The sequence below is a fragment of the Homo sapiens genome, chromosome 10 (genome assembly GCF_000001405.40).
Source record: "Homo sapiens chromosome 10, GRCh38.p14 Primary Assembly".
NCBI lineage: Eukaryota > Metazoa > Chordata > Mammalia > Primates > Hominidae > Homo > Homo sapiens.
The window spans coordinates 8,433,915-8,454,076 of record NC_000010.11 but is presented as its reverse complement, the minus strand read 5'-3'; the positions used below and the strand labels follow the sequence as shown (position 1 = coordinate 8,454,076).

General features: G+C 42.7%; 1 long non-coding RNA gene across 1 annotated transcript; it reads left to right on the top strand.

Moving 5' to 3' along the window:
- Positions 1-287: 287 nt before the first annotated feature.
- LOC105376397 (uncharacterized) lies at positions 288-18,337 on the top strand. The gene is made up of 2 exons (XR_930638.2): positions 288-429; positions 18,295-18,337. It is a non-coding gene; the product is annotated as an uncharacterized LOC105376397 (long non-coding RNA).
- The last annotated feature ends 1,825 nt before the right edge of the window (positions 18,338-20,162 follow it).

Below are 20,162 nucleotides of genomic sequence, written 5' to 3'. Positions count from 1 at the left end.
GGAACTAGAAAGAAGTAGCAAAGCCATGGAGGACCACAGGTGCGATGCTGGGGCAGAAACGTAGTGGAATGATAGTTGTGAATGTTCCCCACAAGGTGTGTCTGGCATAGGGACATCACATGTATTAACTCAACCTTCACAGCAATGTCATTTAGTAGGTACTATTACTGCCGTTTTACAGGTTAGAAAGCTGAGGCACACAGAGAGGGCAAGTAACAGGCCTGAAGTTACACTGCTGGTGAGTCACAGAGCCATGCTTCAAACCTAGCCTCCTGGCTTCCGAGCCCAGCACTTGGCCACGGCGCTGTGTAGGCTGGCTGGGGCTTGAGTGCTTCCTGGATGTTTATGGAATATTTTCAAGAGAAATATTTTCCTGAGAGCCGACGCCTCCTCTGAAACCCTGCAGCCTTCTCAGCAGGAAACAATCAGGTAGGTTTTCCCTTATTCAGCCGTAGTGAAAGGCACATCACAGGCCCAGAACTGCATTTTGTTTCCAATATTTCAGGCACATATAGGAAGGATAGAAGCATAAGAAAAGGAAGGGGTTGGGAGAAACGTCATCTCACTTTAAATATTTCCTCTATGAATGAGATATTTTGTCTGAATAAAAAGAAAACAGACAGAAGACAATGAAAACAATATGTGATATTGAAAGGCCAGTTTTCTAAGCCAAGCTAAAATTAAAATTTTAAAGCCAAGTTAATCCAAAGAAAGAAAAGGCAGTTAAGAGCCGTAAGAATACATCCACCACCTACCCAGCACTTTAACCACTGAATTTCCTTTCAGTCCCCTTTCCTGCGGGGGAAAACTGTCAAAACCAAGAAGTTAGAGGAGGAAACAAAAAAAAGGAAAACTGAGAGGTGGTCTTTGACTAAGTGAGGTTAAAGTGGAAGGCGGTCTCGCACTGACTTCAAGAAAAGTTAGAACAAGAAAAAGATGTTAAACTGGTGATAATATTTCAAATCCACCACTTAGTCATCATTTTACTACAGAAAAACACAGTTAGGTTCAAATGTGTTGACACAAATTTCAGTTTTACCACGCTGAGAAAAACGTAACTATTCTCTCTAAATCATGTTTACTTTTTTCTTTTTCTTATATTTTTTTCTTTTTTTTTTTTTTTGCTGGTGAAGGTTTTACTTCCTATAAAGAAATTGGAGCTGGGCACGGTGGCTCATGCCTATAATCCTAGTACTTTAGGAGGCCCAGGCAGGAGGATTACTTGAGTCTAAGAATCCAAGACCAATCTGGGCAACAAAAAGAGACCTGGTCTCTAGAAAAAATACAAAAATTAGCTGGGTGTGGCTAGCAGTCCCAGCTACTCAGGAGGCTAAGGTGGGAGGATCACTTAAGCCCAGAACGTCAGAGGCTGCAGTGAGACATGAGTATCCCACTGCACTCCAGCCTAGGTGACATTGCAGAGAAAGAGAGAGAGAGAAAGAGGGAAGAAAGGAAGGAAGGAAGGGAGGGAGGAAGGAAGGAAGGAACTGGGATTGACATGTGGAATGACTTTCTAATTTTTTCAGTTGCTTTCCTTTTTATTAAATTTAATTTTCCTGGTGGAAATGTAGCAAGCATCAAATATAATTTTTTTTCAGAGACTTGAAACTCTAACTGAATTTTTAGAAATGGCTGAGGCTGTGTCCATCTGGGCCAACAATTTCAGCCATTTGGGGGATCCGTGCAGCACGACAGGTCAATTCTACAGTGGTAATCAGTGTCACTCATCAAGACAGACAAGTGATCGATTGTTATGTGGCAATTTGCCATGGAAGTGGGAGATACTAACCAGATATTGCCCAAAGAACTGTAAACTGGTTCACTCATAATTTAGAAACATGAAGCATGAAATGAAACATAGAGTTCACAAGAAAGTACAAAACATCATATTGAATCAGCCTATGGACCCATCCAACCCAGGATCCAGTGCTTGCCCCTGTTCTAAAATATGCCAGAGCAGGCCAGGCTTGGTGGCTCACACCTGTAATCCCAGCACTTTGGGAGGTCAAGGTGCGTGGATCATCAGGTCAGGAGTTCGAGACCAGCCTAACCGACATGGTGAAACCCCGTCTCTACTAAAAATACAAAAAAAAAAAAAATTAGATGGGCATGGTGGCGCACACCTGTAATCCCAGCTACTCAGGAGGCTGAGGCAGAAGAATCGCTTGAACCCAGGAGGCAGAAGTTGCAATAAGCCCATATTGCACCACTGTACTCCAGTCTGGGTGACAGAGTGAGACTCTGTTAAAAAAAAAAAAAAAAAGAAAAAGAAAAGAAAAAGCCAAAGCAGATGCTCCTTCCTTCCAAACCCCACCTGTAATGAGATCACATCAACACCACCATCTCAGACCCAACCAGAAGAACCAAGCTCACCCCTAACCTTGGCCCCACCATTCCAGGCTTGCCTGCCAGGGTGGTGGGTTAGCCCAATGCCCCTTGACTGCAGCCTGGGCTTCCACACCTCCAGTAGCTAACTGTTTTGGCTGGGAATGTAGCTGTTAGCCTTCAGCAGAGCTATTCATTTGCTGGACGTAGAAAGTTAAAACTATGCTCTATGTCAAGCTTTTAATGGACATTATCCTGGACAATTGTGTGAGTCTCCTAAGGTGTCCTCAGCCTCCACTTTTCCACTCTTCCTCAAGCACCATCGGGCCATCAATCCCTGACACATAACTTCACAGTGACCTTGTGAATTTAAATCAGATTGCCTCACTTGCTCCCAATATTTGTCAGAGACCAGTTAAGTGGTATAGAGAAAAGTTAAGTCTCTAAAGGAGACAAGGTAGAATGGGAGCATTGTGACTTAAATTAGGCTGATCAGGGAAGACTTCATTAAGAGGTGAGATTGAAGCCAGGCACAGTGACTCATGCCTGTAATCCTAGCACTTTGGGAGGCCAAGGCGGGCAGATCACCTGAGGTCAGGAGTTCGAGACCAGCCTGACCAACATGGAGAAACCCCATCTGTACTAAAAATACAAAATTAGCCGGGTGTGGTGGTGCATGCCTGTAGTCCCAGCTACTTGAGAGGCTGAGGCAGGAGAATCTCGTGAACCCGCGAGGCGGAAGTTGCAGTGAGCCGAGATCTTGCCATTGCATTCCAGCCTGGGCAACAAGAGTGAAGCTCCATCTCAAAAAAAAAAAAAAAAAAAATTGTGAGATTGAGCAGAAACATGGAGCAAGTGACAGAGTGAATCATGCAATATGTCTGGTAAAGAACATTCAGGGCAGAGGAAACACTACGTGCAACAGCGCATCTTTCTCTGGAGGTGAGAACTCACTTGACATGAGGGCAGTGAACAGAGTGGAGTGAACAAGGGAGAGAATGGCAGGAGATGAGGTGAGGAGGGAAATGGGGGTGAGGGACTGCAGATATGAGAGAGACTTGCAGAACAGACAACAGACTTTGGCTTTTGGCTTTTTTTTTTTTTTTTTTGGAGTGAAATGAGAGCTTTTTGGAGTGCTTTGAGCAGAAGAGTAACATGATCAAATTTATGTAAGAGAATTACTCTATGCAGAACAGTTGGAAGAGGGGGCAGCAGTGGACATGCAGTTGCCAGTTAAGAAGGAAGTTACTTCAATGCTACAGAAATGTTGTTGGCTTAAATAGAGAGAAGGGTAGCGATGATGAAAAGTGTCAGACTACAGATGTGCTGATAAAGATAAAGCTGAGAGATTTTTGCTAATACAGGTTCTCCTCGATTGTTATAGGGTGGTTATGTCCAGATTGTCAAATCAAGTTTAGCCTAAAGCTGCCTCCTTACATATTTTAAGTTCAGCCTAAAGGTTTCTCTGTACATCATGAACTATAGCAAGCGGAGGTGTAAACAGACTGTAGCCTACTCTTGTGCCAATCGCTCAGTTTTGGCCAATCAAATGTAGCCAACTGTTCGAGCCATGTTCAAATAAGGCAAACGCAGAGCTGTAACCAATCCAGCTGTTTCTGCACCTCACTTCCGTTTTCTGTTGGTCACTTTCCTTTCTCTGTCCATAAATCTTCTTCCACCACGTGGCTGCACTGGAGTCTCAGAGCTACTCTGGCGTGGGAGCCTGCCTGATTCATGAATCGTTCGTTTCTCAATTAAGCTCCTTTAAATTTAATATGGCTAAAGCTTTTCTTTTATCAAGATAAACCCATGGTAAGCTGAAAATATTGGAAGTCAAAAATGCATTTAAGACACCTAACATAGCGAGCATCATAGCATAGCTTAGCCCACCTGAAACGTGCTCAGAACACTCACATGGAACACGTTCACCTACAAAATCATCTGGCAACTCAATCCACCGTCAGTTGTTGGTAATCACGTGGCTAACTGGGAGCTGCGGTTCACTGTTGCTGCTCAGGATCATGACAGGTTATTGTACCACATATTACTAGCCTGGGAAAATATCAAAATTCACAGTCTTGCACCACCATAAAGTCAGAAAATTATAAGTCAAATCATTGTAAGCTAGGGACCATCTGTGGATGTAGGGTGAAATAAAAGAGTAAATGATAAAACATGTGAATGTAACGAGTTACCACATGTACCCTAAAAATATGTACATCTAATTATACACCAATTTTTAGAGTAATTAATCAATTTTTTAATTTTTTTTTTGAGACAGGGTCTTGCTCTGTCTCTTGGGCTGGAATGCAGTGGTGTGATCTCGGCTCACTGAAACCTTCACCTCTGGGGCTCAAGTGATCCTCCCGTCTTGGCCTCCCAAGCAGCTGGGACTACAGGCATGTGCCACCATGCCCAGCTCATTTTTTTTTTAATTTTTTATAGAGACAGGGTCTCATTATGTTGTCCAGGCTGGTCTCAAACTCCTAGGCTCAAGCGACCCTCCCACCTCGGCCTCCCAAAGTGCTGGGATTATATGCATGAGCCGCAATGCCTGACCTAATTAATTAATTTTTTTTTTCTTTTTTGAGACGGGTCTTGCTCTGTCGCCCAGGCTGGAGTGCAGTGGTGCGATCTCGGCTCACTGCAAGCTCCGTCTCCCGGGTTCACGCCATTCTCCTACCTCAGCCTCCCGAGTAGCTGGGACTACAGGCGCCGGCCGCCATGCCCGGCTAATTTTTTGTATTTTTAGTAGAGACGGGGTTTCACCGTGTTAGCCAGGATAGTCTCTATCTCCTGACCTCGTGATCCACCCACCTCGGCCTCCCGAAGTGCTGAGATTGCAGGTGTGAGCCACTGCACCTAATTAATTCATTTTAAAAAATTAGGAGTAAAGGATGACTCCAAACCTCTTTGTTAGATTAACATGGAGAATGAAGGTATCATTGACTGAAAAGAAGACTGGGAGGAGCAGGTTGAGGTGGGAGAAAGGAGAATCAGTCCATTTTTTTTGCATGACATATTTGAGGTATCTATTAGACATCCTAGTGGACATAAGGACTGGGCAGTTAGATATGAAGTCTGAAGTTTAGAAGGGAGGTCTAGTTTAGAGTTATAAATATGAGAAGTTGTCAGGTTCTACAGGTAGTTAAAGCCATAAGATTGAATGAAATCCCTCAGGGAGTGAATATACTTAAAACAGAGATCAAAGGACTGAGACCCAGGAGACTCCAATATTTAAGGGTTGGGTTAATAAAGAGAAACTGAAGGTGGTCTCATAGACCAATGTGAAGCAAATGTTTCAAGAAGAGGTTCAACTGTGTAAAATGGGCTGATAGGTTTGTTAAGTCAGAAGAGAACAAAGAACTGACCATTGAATTTAGCAGCATGAAGGTCCTTAATAACCGTGGCAAAAGCTGTGTTTTTCTTTTCAGTGTGTCTTTTTATTTATTTATATTTTTTAAACAGTGTTAGTGTAATATAATTTACATATCATAACATTCATCCACTTAAAGCATATAATCCAATGGTTCCTCGTATGTTCAGTGTTGTACAACTGCCACCGCAGTCAATTTTAGAACATTTTCATCACATTAAAAAGAGAATCCATAACCATTGATAGTCATTCTCACTCCTCTCCACTGACCCACCCATCCTCATCCCTCTAGCCCCCAGCCCCAGGCAATCACTCATCTATTGCCTCTCTCTAGATATTGGCCTATTCTGGACATATTATTTTATTCCTTCTACCTAACTGTAATTAGATATCCTTTGACCAACATCTCCCTATATTCCCTCCCCACTAACCAAACATGCTTCTGATAAGCGTCATTTTCCTCTTCACTTTTAAGAGATCTACTTTTTTAAGTTCCACATACGAGTGAGATCATGTGGTATTTGTCTTTCCGTGCCTGCCTTATTTCACTTAATGTCCTCCAGGTTCATCCACATTGTTGCAAATGACAAGATTTCATTCTTTTTTATGGCTGAATAGTATTTCATTGTATTCATATATCACATTTCCTTTATCCATTTATCCATAGATAGACACTTAGGTTGATTCCATATTAACTATTGTGAATAATGCTGCAATAAACATAACAGTACAGATAACTTTTCGGCATGCTGATTTCATTTCCTTTGGATGTATACCCAAGCACTTCTTGGTTGAGTAGTGGAGACAAATCCTGATAGAATTAGTTCAAGAAAAAAAATGAGATGGTAGAAAGTAAAGGCAGTGAATGTAAAAGATGCTTTCAAAGAGTTTTGCTACAAAGAAATGCAGGGAAGCGGAGTGGGGTCAATGGAAGGAATTTTTTAGACAAGAGCTATTTCAGCAAGTTTGGTAATAATGGGCATCATCCATTAGAAGGGAGAGAAACGTGCCAGTGCTGGAGAGAGGTGCGGAAGTGACATTCGTGTGCAGATCAGAGGGAATGGGACCTAGTGCACCGTGGGGATTGACCTCAGGCTGAAAGAGGAACAGGTGAGCCTTTTGTCTACACAGAGTGTGCTTTTGGGAGGGTAATAGTTTCAGGGGAGACACTGGAAAGTTCCTTTTGAATTGTTTTTATTTTCTTAACGGATTAGGGACCGAGGTCACCAGAGCTAACGTGTTGGGTGAAAGAGGAGATACTGTAAAATAGAGGTTTAAGGCCGGGCGCGGTGGCTCACGCCTGTATTCCCAGCACTTTGGGAGGCGGAGGCCGGTGGATCACGAGGTCAGGAGATGGAAACCATCCTGGCCAACAAAGTGAAACCCCGTCTCTACTAAAAATACAAAAGTTAGCTGGGTGTGGTGGCACGTGCCTGTAATCCCAGATACTCGGGAGGCTGAGGCAGGAGAATCGCTTGAACCAGGGAGTGGAGGTTGCAGTGAGCTGAGATCATGCCACAGCACTCCAGCCTGGCGATAGAGCAAGACTCTGTTAAAAAAGAAAAAAAAAAAAAGATAGTGGTTTAAGAGACTGGGCGAGTAGATGGACTAAAGAAATGGGGAAGGGCACTCGGGAGCGCCCCCTTGAGGTTGTGGACTTAGTGACCATTGCGCTTGGTTCGTGTTCCTGTCTCAGAGGTCACCACACTTGGTGTTCGGCTTAGGTGTCCTTCTTGTCCCCCTGACCAAATCTTAAGCTCTTCGAATAGAGATCCCTTAGTCATTTCTGAACTTCCAGTGCCTAGCAAAATGCCTGATAAAACATTTGTTGCATTACGATCGGATGAAGTCTCATCACACATCCACAAGTCACGTTTCTGCCCCTCCCATCTTGAGGCTGCATAAATCAGGCTAGGAGCCTCTCCAGGTTATGGCAGTGTTGCACAGAGGCTGGCATTTAGCAATGCTCAATAGACGTTCGGTTAGTAAATAAGGGAAGGGTGGGGGAGACGCTTCTTAGGCTCTTGCTATTGCGTATTCTTGTGTATCAGGAGACTCAAGTTCCTAAGGCTTTCTCCAGCCTAGTCAGGAAAATAGCCTGTCCTCCGTCTTCAAAATAACAATAGATCTTTTCATCTTGAGATCCACAAGCACACTGACACAAGCTTCAAACAAAGAACCATTTCCCACAACCCATGATCATCCCCCACCGCAGTTTGTGGACAGGTAATCTGAAGCACACAGAGGTCAAATGAGCCTAAAGGTCACAGATCCAAGCTCCTGCCCTGGAGCTGCCAAATAGAATCTATTATATGCTGATCATCAGTTTGCATTTGAACACAGGACAAATAAAGTCAGTCTATAAAATATAACTTATTACTATAATCAGACCTCCCCAAAATAATATTTTTTCAAGTTTTCTCTCTATATAATATATATACTTATGTATACTCTTTTTTGTTCCACAAAGAATTTGAGGAGGCTTATAGTTTGACATTTTTCCCCAAATAGAAAGAGAAAAAAGAAAGAGCAAAATTTTGCAAGCATCAAAGATTCTCCCAGGATCCTGATGCCACGCATATTTGTCCACCTTGCTGTAGTCATTTTGTATAACTCTGTTTACAATGACCAATCCCTCTTCTTAACTTTTCTCTGCAGAAGTAAAATTTCCACTGTAATTCTCCCTAAACAGGTGAAGAAAGGAGGGTTGGAGGAACTTCCATAGCCTTCCCATGAGGCATAATCAGAGCCAGATGCCAAACTTTCTGAATCAAGAGTGGACTCACATGCGATAAAAACTAGTGATTTATTTATTATAGGGCTCTAATTAATAAAATATGCTTTTAACCTACAGCCAACAGGGTGTATTCCACTAGTATGCCCATAAAATATGGCTGGCAAATTGAAAGTAGCATAAAGGCTGAATCACTGTAATTTTTACCACATTAAGAAGCCCCAACTTGAGTTTTACATTACATCTACCTAATATCAACCCTACTGGGAGCAAAAGCAAATATGTAGTCAGCCCAACAAGTGATCTGTCTCAAATTTTGGCTCAAATAACCACTCTGTAAATTAATTTACCAAAATGCCTATTTTGGGGACAGACAAGATCATCCGGGGACATGCTATTCCTCAATTGCCCCTTAGGGAATCCATTTAATTATAACAAAACGAGGCCAGTTAAATGTGGCTTCAGTGCTTGTCAACAGTTCCTTAATATTATTGTCATTATATTAACACTTAATAATAATGGTGGTCAAATTTTAAAAAAGAATTTTAAAAATAAGAAGGGTGGTGATTATGATAATGACAGGCATCATAAAAGATACCTTTGCAAGGTATTTTGAGAACTGATGTATTGAGGTGCATTCAGGCTATTTAGTTTTTCACAATTGTTAGATGTATCTTTTGTAAAACCTCAGATCGAGAGAGAGAGAGAAAGATCTTAACTGACCTTGGTGATCCACCACCCCTCATATACAGCTTTAGCAGGATAGCTGCGGACCTGTGCTAAGCTCTCTCCTGCTCTGTTCCTTAGGGGGGCAGCAGCTGCACCGCCTACCAGCACAGCGTCACCCTCGGCAAAAGGCTGCCTGCTTCTACCAGCCAGTGCTAAACTGTGCTAAGGGAGAATTAAAAATCATTGCCTTTTGGTGCAACGATTGCTGTGCAGAGAGCAGCCAAGATGGTCTCACTTCCCAGCACTAGAGATGCCCGCAGCCAGAGGAGAATTGAGAATGATTAATAGGACAAGTAAAATTGTGTTTCCAGGGTTATACTTGGTTTTGAAAGCTGAAGATGCCCTGATTGTATCCCATTAACCAAATTTGAGTTTGCTATGTTTTCTCTGCTGTGAAAATACAGGTGTTACCATCCTAGGAAGTCATCAGCATCAGAAAGTTGCCCTCTGAAGCCTGCTTTCAGGGACTGAGATCCAAAAACACTTATTTGTAGTCCCATTCCTCCAGCATCCCCTCTCACAGTCTCACAAGCCCTATGTGAAGTATAGACTTGAATAAACTTGATCCAGGAGACAATAAAGTCCTTCTTATGCATATTCATTCCTGAACTGTAATGAGCATCTTTCCTGAGTTGGACACTAAGAATGCCTGTGAAAACCCAATGTGCCTGAGAGCAAGGAGGAAGCTTTCTGATGCTAGAAGAAATAAGAATACGATCTCTACTAAACTGGGAAAAGGCATCCATTTAAAGCAGAGAGGCAGGTACATAAACAAGCTCATTAGGATGTGCTAGTGCCACAGTCCTATGTGCTTAGCCACTGTCTTTGAGGTTCCAACCAACAATAAGTATCAATCAATAATCAATAGTCAACAAGTATAAATTGACCAACACTTGTTAGGTATCTATTTTGTGCCCAGAATACTACTTGGTTCTAGAAAAGGATACAAGATAAATATGAGACATTTCTCCCACCCTTTCCATATTTAAATTGTACATAATTCACATAAAAACTTCTGAGTATATACTGTAAGCAAAACTAACATGCAGAGTCATTGGAAATAAAAGCTGTGCTCTATCTGTAGCCCAAGTTTCAGACACATTTAAATCAGCTATTGGATTAATCAAATCAGAGCTACCTTCATGGTGACCTGATGAGCTGACTCCTTGGGCATCATGACCATTGTAATCTTTCTTAGTGTGTGGACCAAAGTAAATACCATCTATCCTGTGGCGCTACTGGGATCATAGAATTGTAACATTTAAAGGGACTTCAGAGCCCAATTCTTTACCCGACCTAAGATTCCACTCTGGAACAAGCCATTCTTAAACATTTCTAGCAAGCATTACCTAACCAAAAAGTTCACTGCCTTTAAACTTCAAAACGCCTCCTTTCTGATGTGAAAGGAATTCAGTCTCCTTACAACTTTTTTTTTTTTTTTCGAGATAGGGTCTCTCATTCTGTCACCCAGGCTGCAGCACAGGGCATGATCACAGCTCACTGCAGCTTCAAGCTCCTGGGCTCGAGCAATCCTCCTGCCTCAGTCTCCCAAGTAGCTGGGACTACACGTGCACACCACTATGCCCGGCTAACTTCTGTACTTTTTGTAAACATGGGTTTTCCCCGTGTTGTCCAAGCTGGTCTCGAACTTCTGGGCTCAAACAATCCACCAGCCTCAGCCTCCTAAAGTGCTGGTGCGTGAGCCACCGTGCACAGCCTCTAACAACTTTGATCACCTTTTTCTACACAGCTTCGTCAAATAAATTTAATCTTTTTTTAAAAATATGAGCACATGTAAATATTTTAAAATGATATCCACATGTCTTTCTTTTTCCCAGGCTGAATTCCTTCAACCACTTCTTCTATGACAAGATTTTTCAATCATTCACCAGTTGAATTGCCTCCTTCTAAATATTCTCCTGTTTTAAACATGTCTGTTAATGTAACATGGCTCTATGCATTCACACTATGAAACTCCATCTTACCTGTGAAATGGCAGAGTTAGGCTAGATCAATATGATCGTATTCTTCCATCACTAAAGGAACTGATTTAAACAAATTTCCTCTCCCACAGCTGTAGGCATCTAAGAGATCTCCAGGGAATATCCATAGAAAACAGTGTCTTTGGACCAAACATGTTGAAAAGAGACTAGAGTTGTGTGGTAATCACTGTGAAGAATACGTTTTTTGGCAGGGTGTGGTGGCTGACTCCTGTAATCCCAGCACTTTGGGAGGCCAAGGCAGGCAGATCACTTGAGGCCAGGAGTTCGAGACCAGCCTGGCCAACATGGTGAAACCCCGTCTCTACTAAGAATACAAAAATTAGTCGGGCGTGGTGGTGTGTGCCTGTAGTATCAGCTACTCAGGAGGCTGAGGGACAAGAATCGCTTGAACCCGGGAGGTAGAGGCTGCAGTGAGCCAGGATTGCACCACTGCCCTCCAGCCTGGGCAAGAGAGTGAGACTCCATTTCAAAAAAAAACAGAATGTAAATAACAGATATAAAATCTTGACACCTATTACCTAGTACTTGGTAAGCAATGTCCTTGGGACTAACATCAGTGTAGCTGATCTGTATTGTTGAAATAACTTTAATTCATTTCCAATAATGAAATAAGAGTACGACAAAAAAATTGAACTGAACATAATCTCTGCACACTGAGTTCATGATCTTAGTGGGAAGGGCAGGTAGAGTCATAATTTGGTGTTTATAGCAAAAAAAAGTTATAATTTAAAGAAATTAGCCTATGTAGTCCTTTAAAACGAAATTAAATCTAGGGTTCCTGGAGAAACAAATATTCGGGACTGCACAGGTAGAAATTTTATAGATTTGATTAAAAAATAACCTTGTCAACCTATTTTTTACTTGAGCCTAGGTGAAATCAAGCAAAAGGTCTGAAGGAACTTGACCAAAAATAATGTGCTGGAGGTTTTTCAATCATTTTTATTAGATTTTCAGGGAATTATTTTTAGTAAGGAGAGTGAGATGGGATATTGGTTGCAGGTAAAATATTAGCTTAGCAACCCAAGCAGATGCTGATAGCTGTGCATGGCGGTCTAAGAACAGAGGAAGAGGTTAGAAAATGAAAATGTAGTCTCTGGAGAAAATTACTATGGCCCTGACATTTTCAATGCAGAAATGCCTAGAGAGGAAGGGTTACAAAAAAAAAATGAAATCCTGTTTTCCCTGTTCTGGGAAAACAGGATCCTAACAATGGAGCTTATTAAAAGTTATTTTTTTAACTGATGACTGTTCCATTCTGTGCTAGAAAATTGGGTGAGGCTATTTCTGATTTAATAAGATGGATGGATATCCTTGCCCTCGAAACTCTGGCATTAAGAAGATAATATTCTGAGGAGTAGTGGTGCTTCTGGGGATAGAAAATAGAGTCCTTCAAAAGCAGCCAGATGACACAGTCCCTCTCTTAAAAGAATGGCTTGGAGTTTTCATGCATGTCTGCGCCCAGGGTAATGAGCACCAGGGACTTACCAGTGGAATTCTTAGCTGGCTACAGGGCACTTCAGTGTTCCGTCTCTCAGTTGGAGAAAGACTGAGATTATGGGGGAAAGAAAAAATCAGGAGACATAGTATTAGTCTGTGCCCTGTTTGACTGTGAGCTTGTTATTCTCAGATTCCTCATCTGAAAATGTCCTCCTTAGGCTCAGAGACTTTTCTAGTGAAACCCGGCTCTGGGACAACTGCTCTCATGATCTGCCTTCAAGATGCCTTTCCTTATTCTTTTAGCATTAGGTTTTCTTAAATGTACAATTAGATTAGGAGCACTTGAATCTCTAAAAGGAAAATCCCTTGTAAAAGTAAATGGAGTACCTGGTAGCTGCATTCTTTGGAGAACACACAGGATCTGCAGGCACCGGATACCCCGTGACCATGAAGGATGCCATGGGTTTGGGCAGGTGGGCTGCCTCTGTGTGCAGTGTCATCTACCCACAGCACAGCTACCCTGGTCCTCACCCCACGGCAGGCCATGCAGGACAGCAGCCAGCTGAAGGTCTTCCTCAGGGTTGGGGCTCCCTAGGAGACTGGAGAGTTCATTCACTCCTGAAGAGGTGACTCTTCCCAACATGAAACCGCACACAAGTCCTTGGAGTTCCCAGAACAACACTGAGCTCCCGGTCAGAGAAGGAAGGGTGGTGGGAAGCTAAAGGGAGTTGGTTTGTATTATTGTGATCACTTTCATTCACGTCCAACAATAAAATAAGAGGATAACAAAGAATGGAGCTGAACATACATCTCTCCATATTGAACTGAGCTCCTGATCTTCTACTGAGCGAGAACAGAAAAATGGTTATGATGGTGTTTTCTAAAGGATGCAGAGGGTACCTTAGTGTAGTGAGGAGTGGGGTGGGAAGGAGGCAGCTGGAAAGAAAATGCATGATAGAGGGGCAGAAAATCAGAAGAGTAAAGAAGTGACACAACTCAGGGAATGAACCTAAAATATTAGAATAAGGAGACGGAGAGGGAGACCAAAGGAGAGGTCCCAGGAGGGGCAGAGGGGAAGAACATGATAAGGACAGAGTCAGAGGGGGTGAGAGTTCTCTGGGGTCCGCTCTGTGTAAGTCACCGTCGTTTTATGGGTCAGCCTGGCTAGGCTATAATGCCTAGTTGTTTGGTCAAATACCAGCTTAGCTGTTGCTGTGAAGGTGTTTTTCAGATGTGATGAACATCTCCATCGGTGGACTTTGAGTAAAGCAGGTTGTCCTCAGGCTTTGTCCAATCACTTGAAGGTCTTAAGACTAAATATTGAGTTTCCCCCAAAAGAAGAAGTTCTGCCTCCAGAGGGCAACATGAAAACCCTTAGTTGAGTGTCCTCTTCCAGCCTGATGGCCTGCCCTGCAGGTTTCAGACTTGCCAACACCCACAATTGTATAAGCCAATTCCTTAAAATCAATCTTTTTATTTTTATTTTTTTTTATTTATTTTTGAGACCGAGTCTCACTCTGTCACTCATGCTGGAGTGCAGTGGCATGATCTTGGCTCACTGCAATCTCCGCCTCCTGGGTTCAAGCGATTCTCCTGAGTAGCTGGGATTACGGGCTGCTGCCACTACACCCAGCTAATTTTTTGTGTTTTTAGTAGAGATGGGGTTTTACCGTGTTAGCTAGGCTGGTCTCCAACTCCTGACCTCGTGATTCACCCACCTCAGCCTCCCAAAGTGCTGGGATTATAGGTGTGAGCCACCGCACCTAGCCCAAAATCAATCTCTTTACATATGTGTGTAAATACACACACCACACACACACACAGATACACAACACATCTGTTGCTTCTGCTACTCTGGAAAACCCTAATACATTATATAAAGTACTGTTCATAACTGCGCAGTGACTGCTGATCCTATCTTAGAGACAGGAAAGTTTCAGAGAGTTTCTCTCCCCAGTTAGCCCCCTGGTAACTACTCACTAATCTCTCCCCAGTCCTTTATATGGAAAGAAAGGAGCAGTTATGCAAATCTAGGTCTTTCTCACTTCCAAATCTATTGTACCCTAAGACAGGCAGGGGTTTCTACAAGTCATTTAGTCCCATTTGAGGCATTTGAGAATTTTCAGAATGTCCTTTGGCAACACTTGAGCAGACAGGCAAACAGAATTCTTTTCCATGACTTGATGGCCTCTGGCAATTACGTGGCCCCAAAGTGGCCTGGCCCATGGGGTTTGGGAGGGAGCATTGGATACCAAGGATGTCAACCACTTCTGAAATGTCAATACCTAGGAAAAAATGCAGTGGCTCACTCACACAGGCAGTACACCACCTGGAAGCCTGAGCTCATCTTCCCATCTGCTTCATTTACTGTTCCTTACCCTGATTGGCATGAATTCCTACATTGGTTACATCTGCAGCATTTCATATGCAGGGGCAGGCCATAGTCATGTGCATAATTGAGTTCTGAAGTGTACAAGACTGCAAGACCCACTTACAGTGAATTTTGTTCTTTTTCAACTCATCTGTGTGTCCCAGAGTGTACACACCCTATCCAACATCACTGAGCTTCAACAGGTTGGTAGCACCTAGTAGCCCCTGGTAACTACCTCACCAACTTCCCCCAAGGTCTTTTATCTGGAAAGGGAAGTGCCAGTCAGGTATCTCACAGGAACCTGAAGAAGGCAGAGGGTTAACCACCAACGGAAGCTCAATTTCAACAGCCTTTATTAACCCTGCAAGTGACTCTAACCACTACCTTCAGGACACAGCAAAGGAACCCGGTTCCCCTCACTTCTGTCATACCACAGAGCTGATATTTAACAAGGAAAAACTGTTGGTACACCTGTATACGTTTCATGTGGCTTTTGCTACCTACCAATGTAATCAATGTAATCACTTTTCTTCTTGATCTTTTTTTTCTGCCAGAGGTAAGTGATTTCTCCTGCACAAAGATTTTTTTAATGCTTTCAAGAGCCAACATTGAATCTTTTAATGATCAAATATCAACTAGCATTTTCTTAGACCTCTAGAATGAGGATTGTAGAAATTTTATAAGGCAAACCAGCCTGGTATCTTGAAAACATCATGGCCCTGGGAATCAGAAGAGGCAAAGCACTAACTCAGTCACTTAACCTCCTTAGAGTCCATTCCATTTAGTCAATATTTATTGAGCATTTCCTGTGTCCTGGGCATTTTCTTGAGCACCAGAGACATAAAGACAAATGAACCCTAGCCTTGCCTGCAGAGAGCTTATAATTTACTGTTAGAGACAGTCGTGTAAAAAAACAACTGCAAAACTGAGTGAGCCATACCTCAACAGAAGTACACACAATGTGCTAGATGCACTAATGGAACCGAATGATTCATTCCATCCTGGATGAGCTTTAGGGCATGTTTCTCAAAGAAGGTGACACCCCAGTACAGCCTCTGTTTTTCTCATCTAAGGAATGAAGAGGCCAAAGTGAAAAATTCCTATGTCTCTCCCAGCCTTACGGCTCTGAAATTCAGTAAGTGTGCAGATAAATCCAAGAAATCCTGAAAACCAGAATGTTCAGAGTTGGGCAGTCTTGGAGGGGACTGGTGGTTCGTGGAATTGGATAGCTACAGATACTGGCCTCTGCTCAGAGAGCCAGGCTGCTAGGCAGAGCCCCAAGGACGGGGTGCTCTTCTACCCAGTCCTCCCAAGCCACCAGGATTCATGTCACCCTTTTGATGAGTGAAAAAATCAATTCAAAAAATACTCTATTGCAAGACTCTGTGGGCTAGTAGAAGAAGACAAGTTAATGGCCGGGCATAGTGGGTCACACTTTAATCCCAGCACTTCAGGAAGCCGAGTCAGACAGATCACTTTGAGGCCAGGAGTTTGAGGCCAGCCTGACCAACATGGTGAAACCCTGTCTCTACTAAAAATACAAAAATTAGCCGAGTGTGGTGGCATGCACCTGTAATCCCAGCTACTGGAGAGGCTGAGGAGGGAGAACTGCTTGAACCCAGGAGGCGGAGGTTGCAGTGAGCCAAGATCGCACCACTGCACTCCAACCTGGGCAACAAAGCAAGACTCCGTCTCAAAAAAAAAAAAAAAAAAAAAAAAAGACAAGTTAATATGCAATCTCTGCCATTGAGAAGCCCACAGCCTGACGAAGAATTAGGATATGGTACAGGAAGAATTAGGGAAACCCAGGGTACAAATCAAGGCCCAATATAGAGTACAAAAGGAGGTGCAGGCAAGGAGTTAATTAAAGGAAGGAAAATGTTTGTCTTCTACAGGAACCAAAGAAGGCTTCAGGACATGCCCAACTGGAGGTTATCAAAGGGCAGAGAGATAACAGGAAGAAAGGAAGAACATTCTACACAGAGCAAACTACTTGAGCAAAAGCGGAAAGATAGAGACACTTTAGGAGATTGTAAGCAGAATTAGAGTGGAGCTATAGAATATAATAATAATAATTAACATTTTTATTAATATTACTTACTGAGTGCCTATTGAGTGTGCCAGGAATTTCAAATGTCCTTCCTCACCCTTCACTGCCACCTGTGATATGGGTATCACCCCCATTTTTCAGATGAGCAAACTGAGGTTTCATGGGCCAAACTGAGATTTTAACAAGATGCTCCTGATCCCAGGGTCCACACTCTTAACAATCATGCTTGTTTATTTGATGTGCTGCTGGGAAATGAATGCCTCGCTCAAAAGGCCCTGTAAAATAGTGTTTTGAAGGACAGGAATAGTAGAATACAGCAGATAAATCTGGCAGCATTTTGGAAAATGGCTTGGAGCAGGAAAAGACTAGAGATAAGGAAATCTTTGACCTACGTGTTATAGTAATGAGAGATATGCAAGAGCAATAAACACTTCTGCACTGAGGCAATAGGAGTCAAAAAATGGAGAGGAAAGCAGGGATATATGAAAAAAAACCAGGTCATGGGGTAGAATCCCTAGAACCTCCCTAGTGGTTGGATATGGTGGAAAAGGGAAGAATAGGGAGTTTGGAGAATGTGTGTTCGGTTCCTGAGGTCCCCTTCCAAGCCAGAGTCATTTCCTTCCATCCAGTCTCTTGGATCCATAGGCAGAAAGAGGGAGTTTTCTGAAATGTTTTCTTTCCTCTAAAGTATGCATCTTACAAATTCATGTTTCTCCTGGACTTCAGTAGCTGCATAATAATCAATTGTTATCCCTGTAAGTTCCAGGAAATTTAGTTTAAGGTTTCTTATAGGAAATATGGATAGGCAAAAGTTCCTCTATAAAAACTCTGCCCAAATCACCTATTTCTGGGGCACATTGCTTATAATAGGTACTGAATGAATATGTTCTAAATGAATAAGTAGATAAACCACAAACACTTTCAACCCCTTGACCCTTGTGAGACTTTTACCCCTACCTTACTTTCAAAACAGAACTCCAGAGGCAAGAGTTAAACAAAGGCCACCAGGACACAGAATGTAGCAATGCTGGGATGTGCGGTGAGAGAACAGGGAAGAGAGACCTTAGCTGGGTCTGTCCTCTGATGTTTGGTGTGACTGCTGACACATGGCAGGACCTCAGTAAGCATTGGTTGGATGGATAGATGAATGAGTGAGTCAGATCATCTAGCTTTGAAGATCTCAGTAGTTCCTGTTTAAGTAGAGGAGTTTGGGCAGCCATCAGCCCCATTAACCTAACATGCCAATGTGATTAATGTTGCTTTTTCCAGAAGCTTGGCCTTGCCTGCAAAACTCAACACTGAACACCTGAAGGAAAAAAAAATCCCATTGGCAAAGCTTGCTTTTAACCGTGGGAGACACCAAGCAACGTTGCCAGTTTCCCGGGGGCCCAATACCTTTCTGACTTTGCAATAACTCCCAAGTTAAACAAATTGCCAAAGAGTTATAAGCCTCTTATTAGTTGGATGGCTTCCCCCAATTGCTCTGCTGGCTGCATTTTCCCTGCACACACATTGGTGAGTTCTGCCGACTATTCGTGTGCCTGCAAGTTGAGGAGCTCTGGCATTTCTGTGATCTACAGTCTCCAATCTCCACTCCCTCTTGCCTTCACTTTGAACTGAAGTGCTGTCTTAAGCAACCCCACTACCCACCACCTAACAAGCCAGGACGTGAGTCTTCATGACTGTTACAACACTTGAACCTGATTCCAGGCTAACCAGTAACACCAGTATTCAAACTGCAGTGTGAGGAACACCGCAACAAGCTGAAGAAATGGCCTGTACCGATTTCCTAATGGTCAGAGGATGAAGTGCGGCACAGCAACAGCTGGAAACACAGGTTACAGAAGGCTTAGACAAGAGAGGCATTGGAGAATACCGTGAAAATCTAAAATAGAGAGCTAGCATTCGTTTATGGCCTTCAGTTTACATGGCAGAAGCCAAAATGGAGAGCTGGGAGAGATCAGTTTCACCTGGGTAAAGACCAATCGGATGCTTTGGGATAAAAATCCACTTTAGAAATTAAATTATCCATTTCAGTTTACCGCCCTAATTCATAAGTCAATGTCCAACTCTATTTGATTTTGTATTGAACAAAATTTAGCTGTTATACCAACTTCTGTTTCTGCATGAATTTACATATAACATAAGATCTCTGTGGACTGGGTGTGGTGACTTGCATCTGTAATCCCAGCACTTTGGGAGGCTAAGGTTGCAGGGTCACTTCAGCCAGGGAGTTTGAGACCAGACTAGGCAATATAGTGAGACCTCGTCTCTACAAAAAATTTAAAAAACAAACCAAAAACAGCCAAATGTGGTGGTGCACGTCTATAGTCCCAGCTACTCTGGAGGCTGAGGTGAGAGGATTGCTTGAGCCCAGGGGGTCAGAGGCTGCAGTGAGCTGGGATCACACCACTGCACACCAGCCTGGGAAACAGAGGAAGATTCTGTCAAAAAGAAAACAAAACTGTATGATGATTATACAACGTGAAATGAAGCAATTCCATCAAAATTTATTCCTCAATAAGAGCTCCTTGAAAAGAATTATAAGCTAAGTTTTCTGTTTTGTTTTTCTTTGAAAAGTGCAAATTTCTATAGTACACTGGTTCCACTATTTTCTTGGAGTATGATAAGGTTTATGCCAAGAGATCACATTAGTTTCTGTACACTGTTTCTATTGATTCAAGGCTCCTACCTAAGATTAGAAGAAACAATCATTTTATTAACTGCAGTCAAAGGGTTATGGAGAAAATCTGTGTCCGCCGGATATACATAATTCCATCTTTCCTTCTTAGCACTCTTATCTTATTTCATCTAGAGATTTTCCCTAGATGAAATAAGGTGGAAAATCAATAAGATCTTCAGAGGGTGGGGAGAGGAGTGGAAGGACAGAAGAGGAGGAGAGAAAGGGGAGAGGCCGGGCTCCCACAAAAGTGTGCAAAAGCAACCAATTCCCCATGAGCTTCTCTGACGTGCAGAACCTCAATCTGAAATAGAGAGTGGAGTCAGATGGAAATTGAACACGTTCATGACTCAGATTCTTCCTGAGCACCTCTCTGTCGTTGTCCTAAAAAGCATTACAATTTGGTGAAAGAGGGCAGTTCCTCTAGGATGGCCATCTATCTTCTGAGTCCTTATTT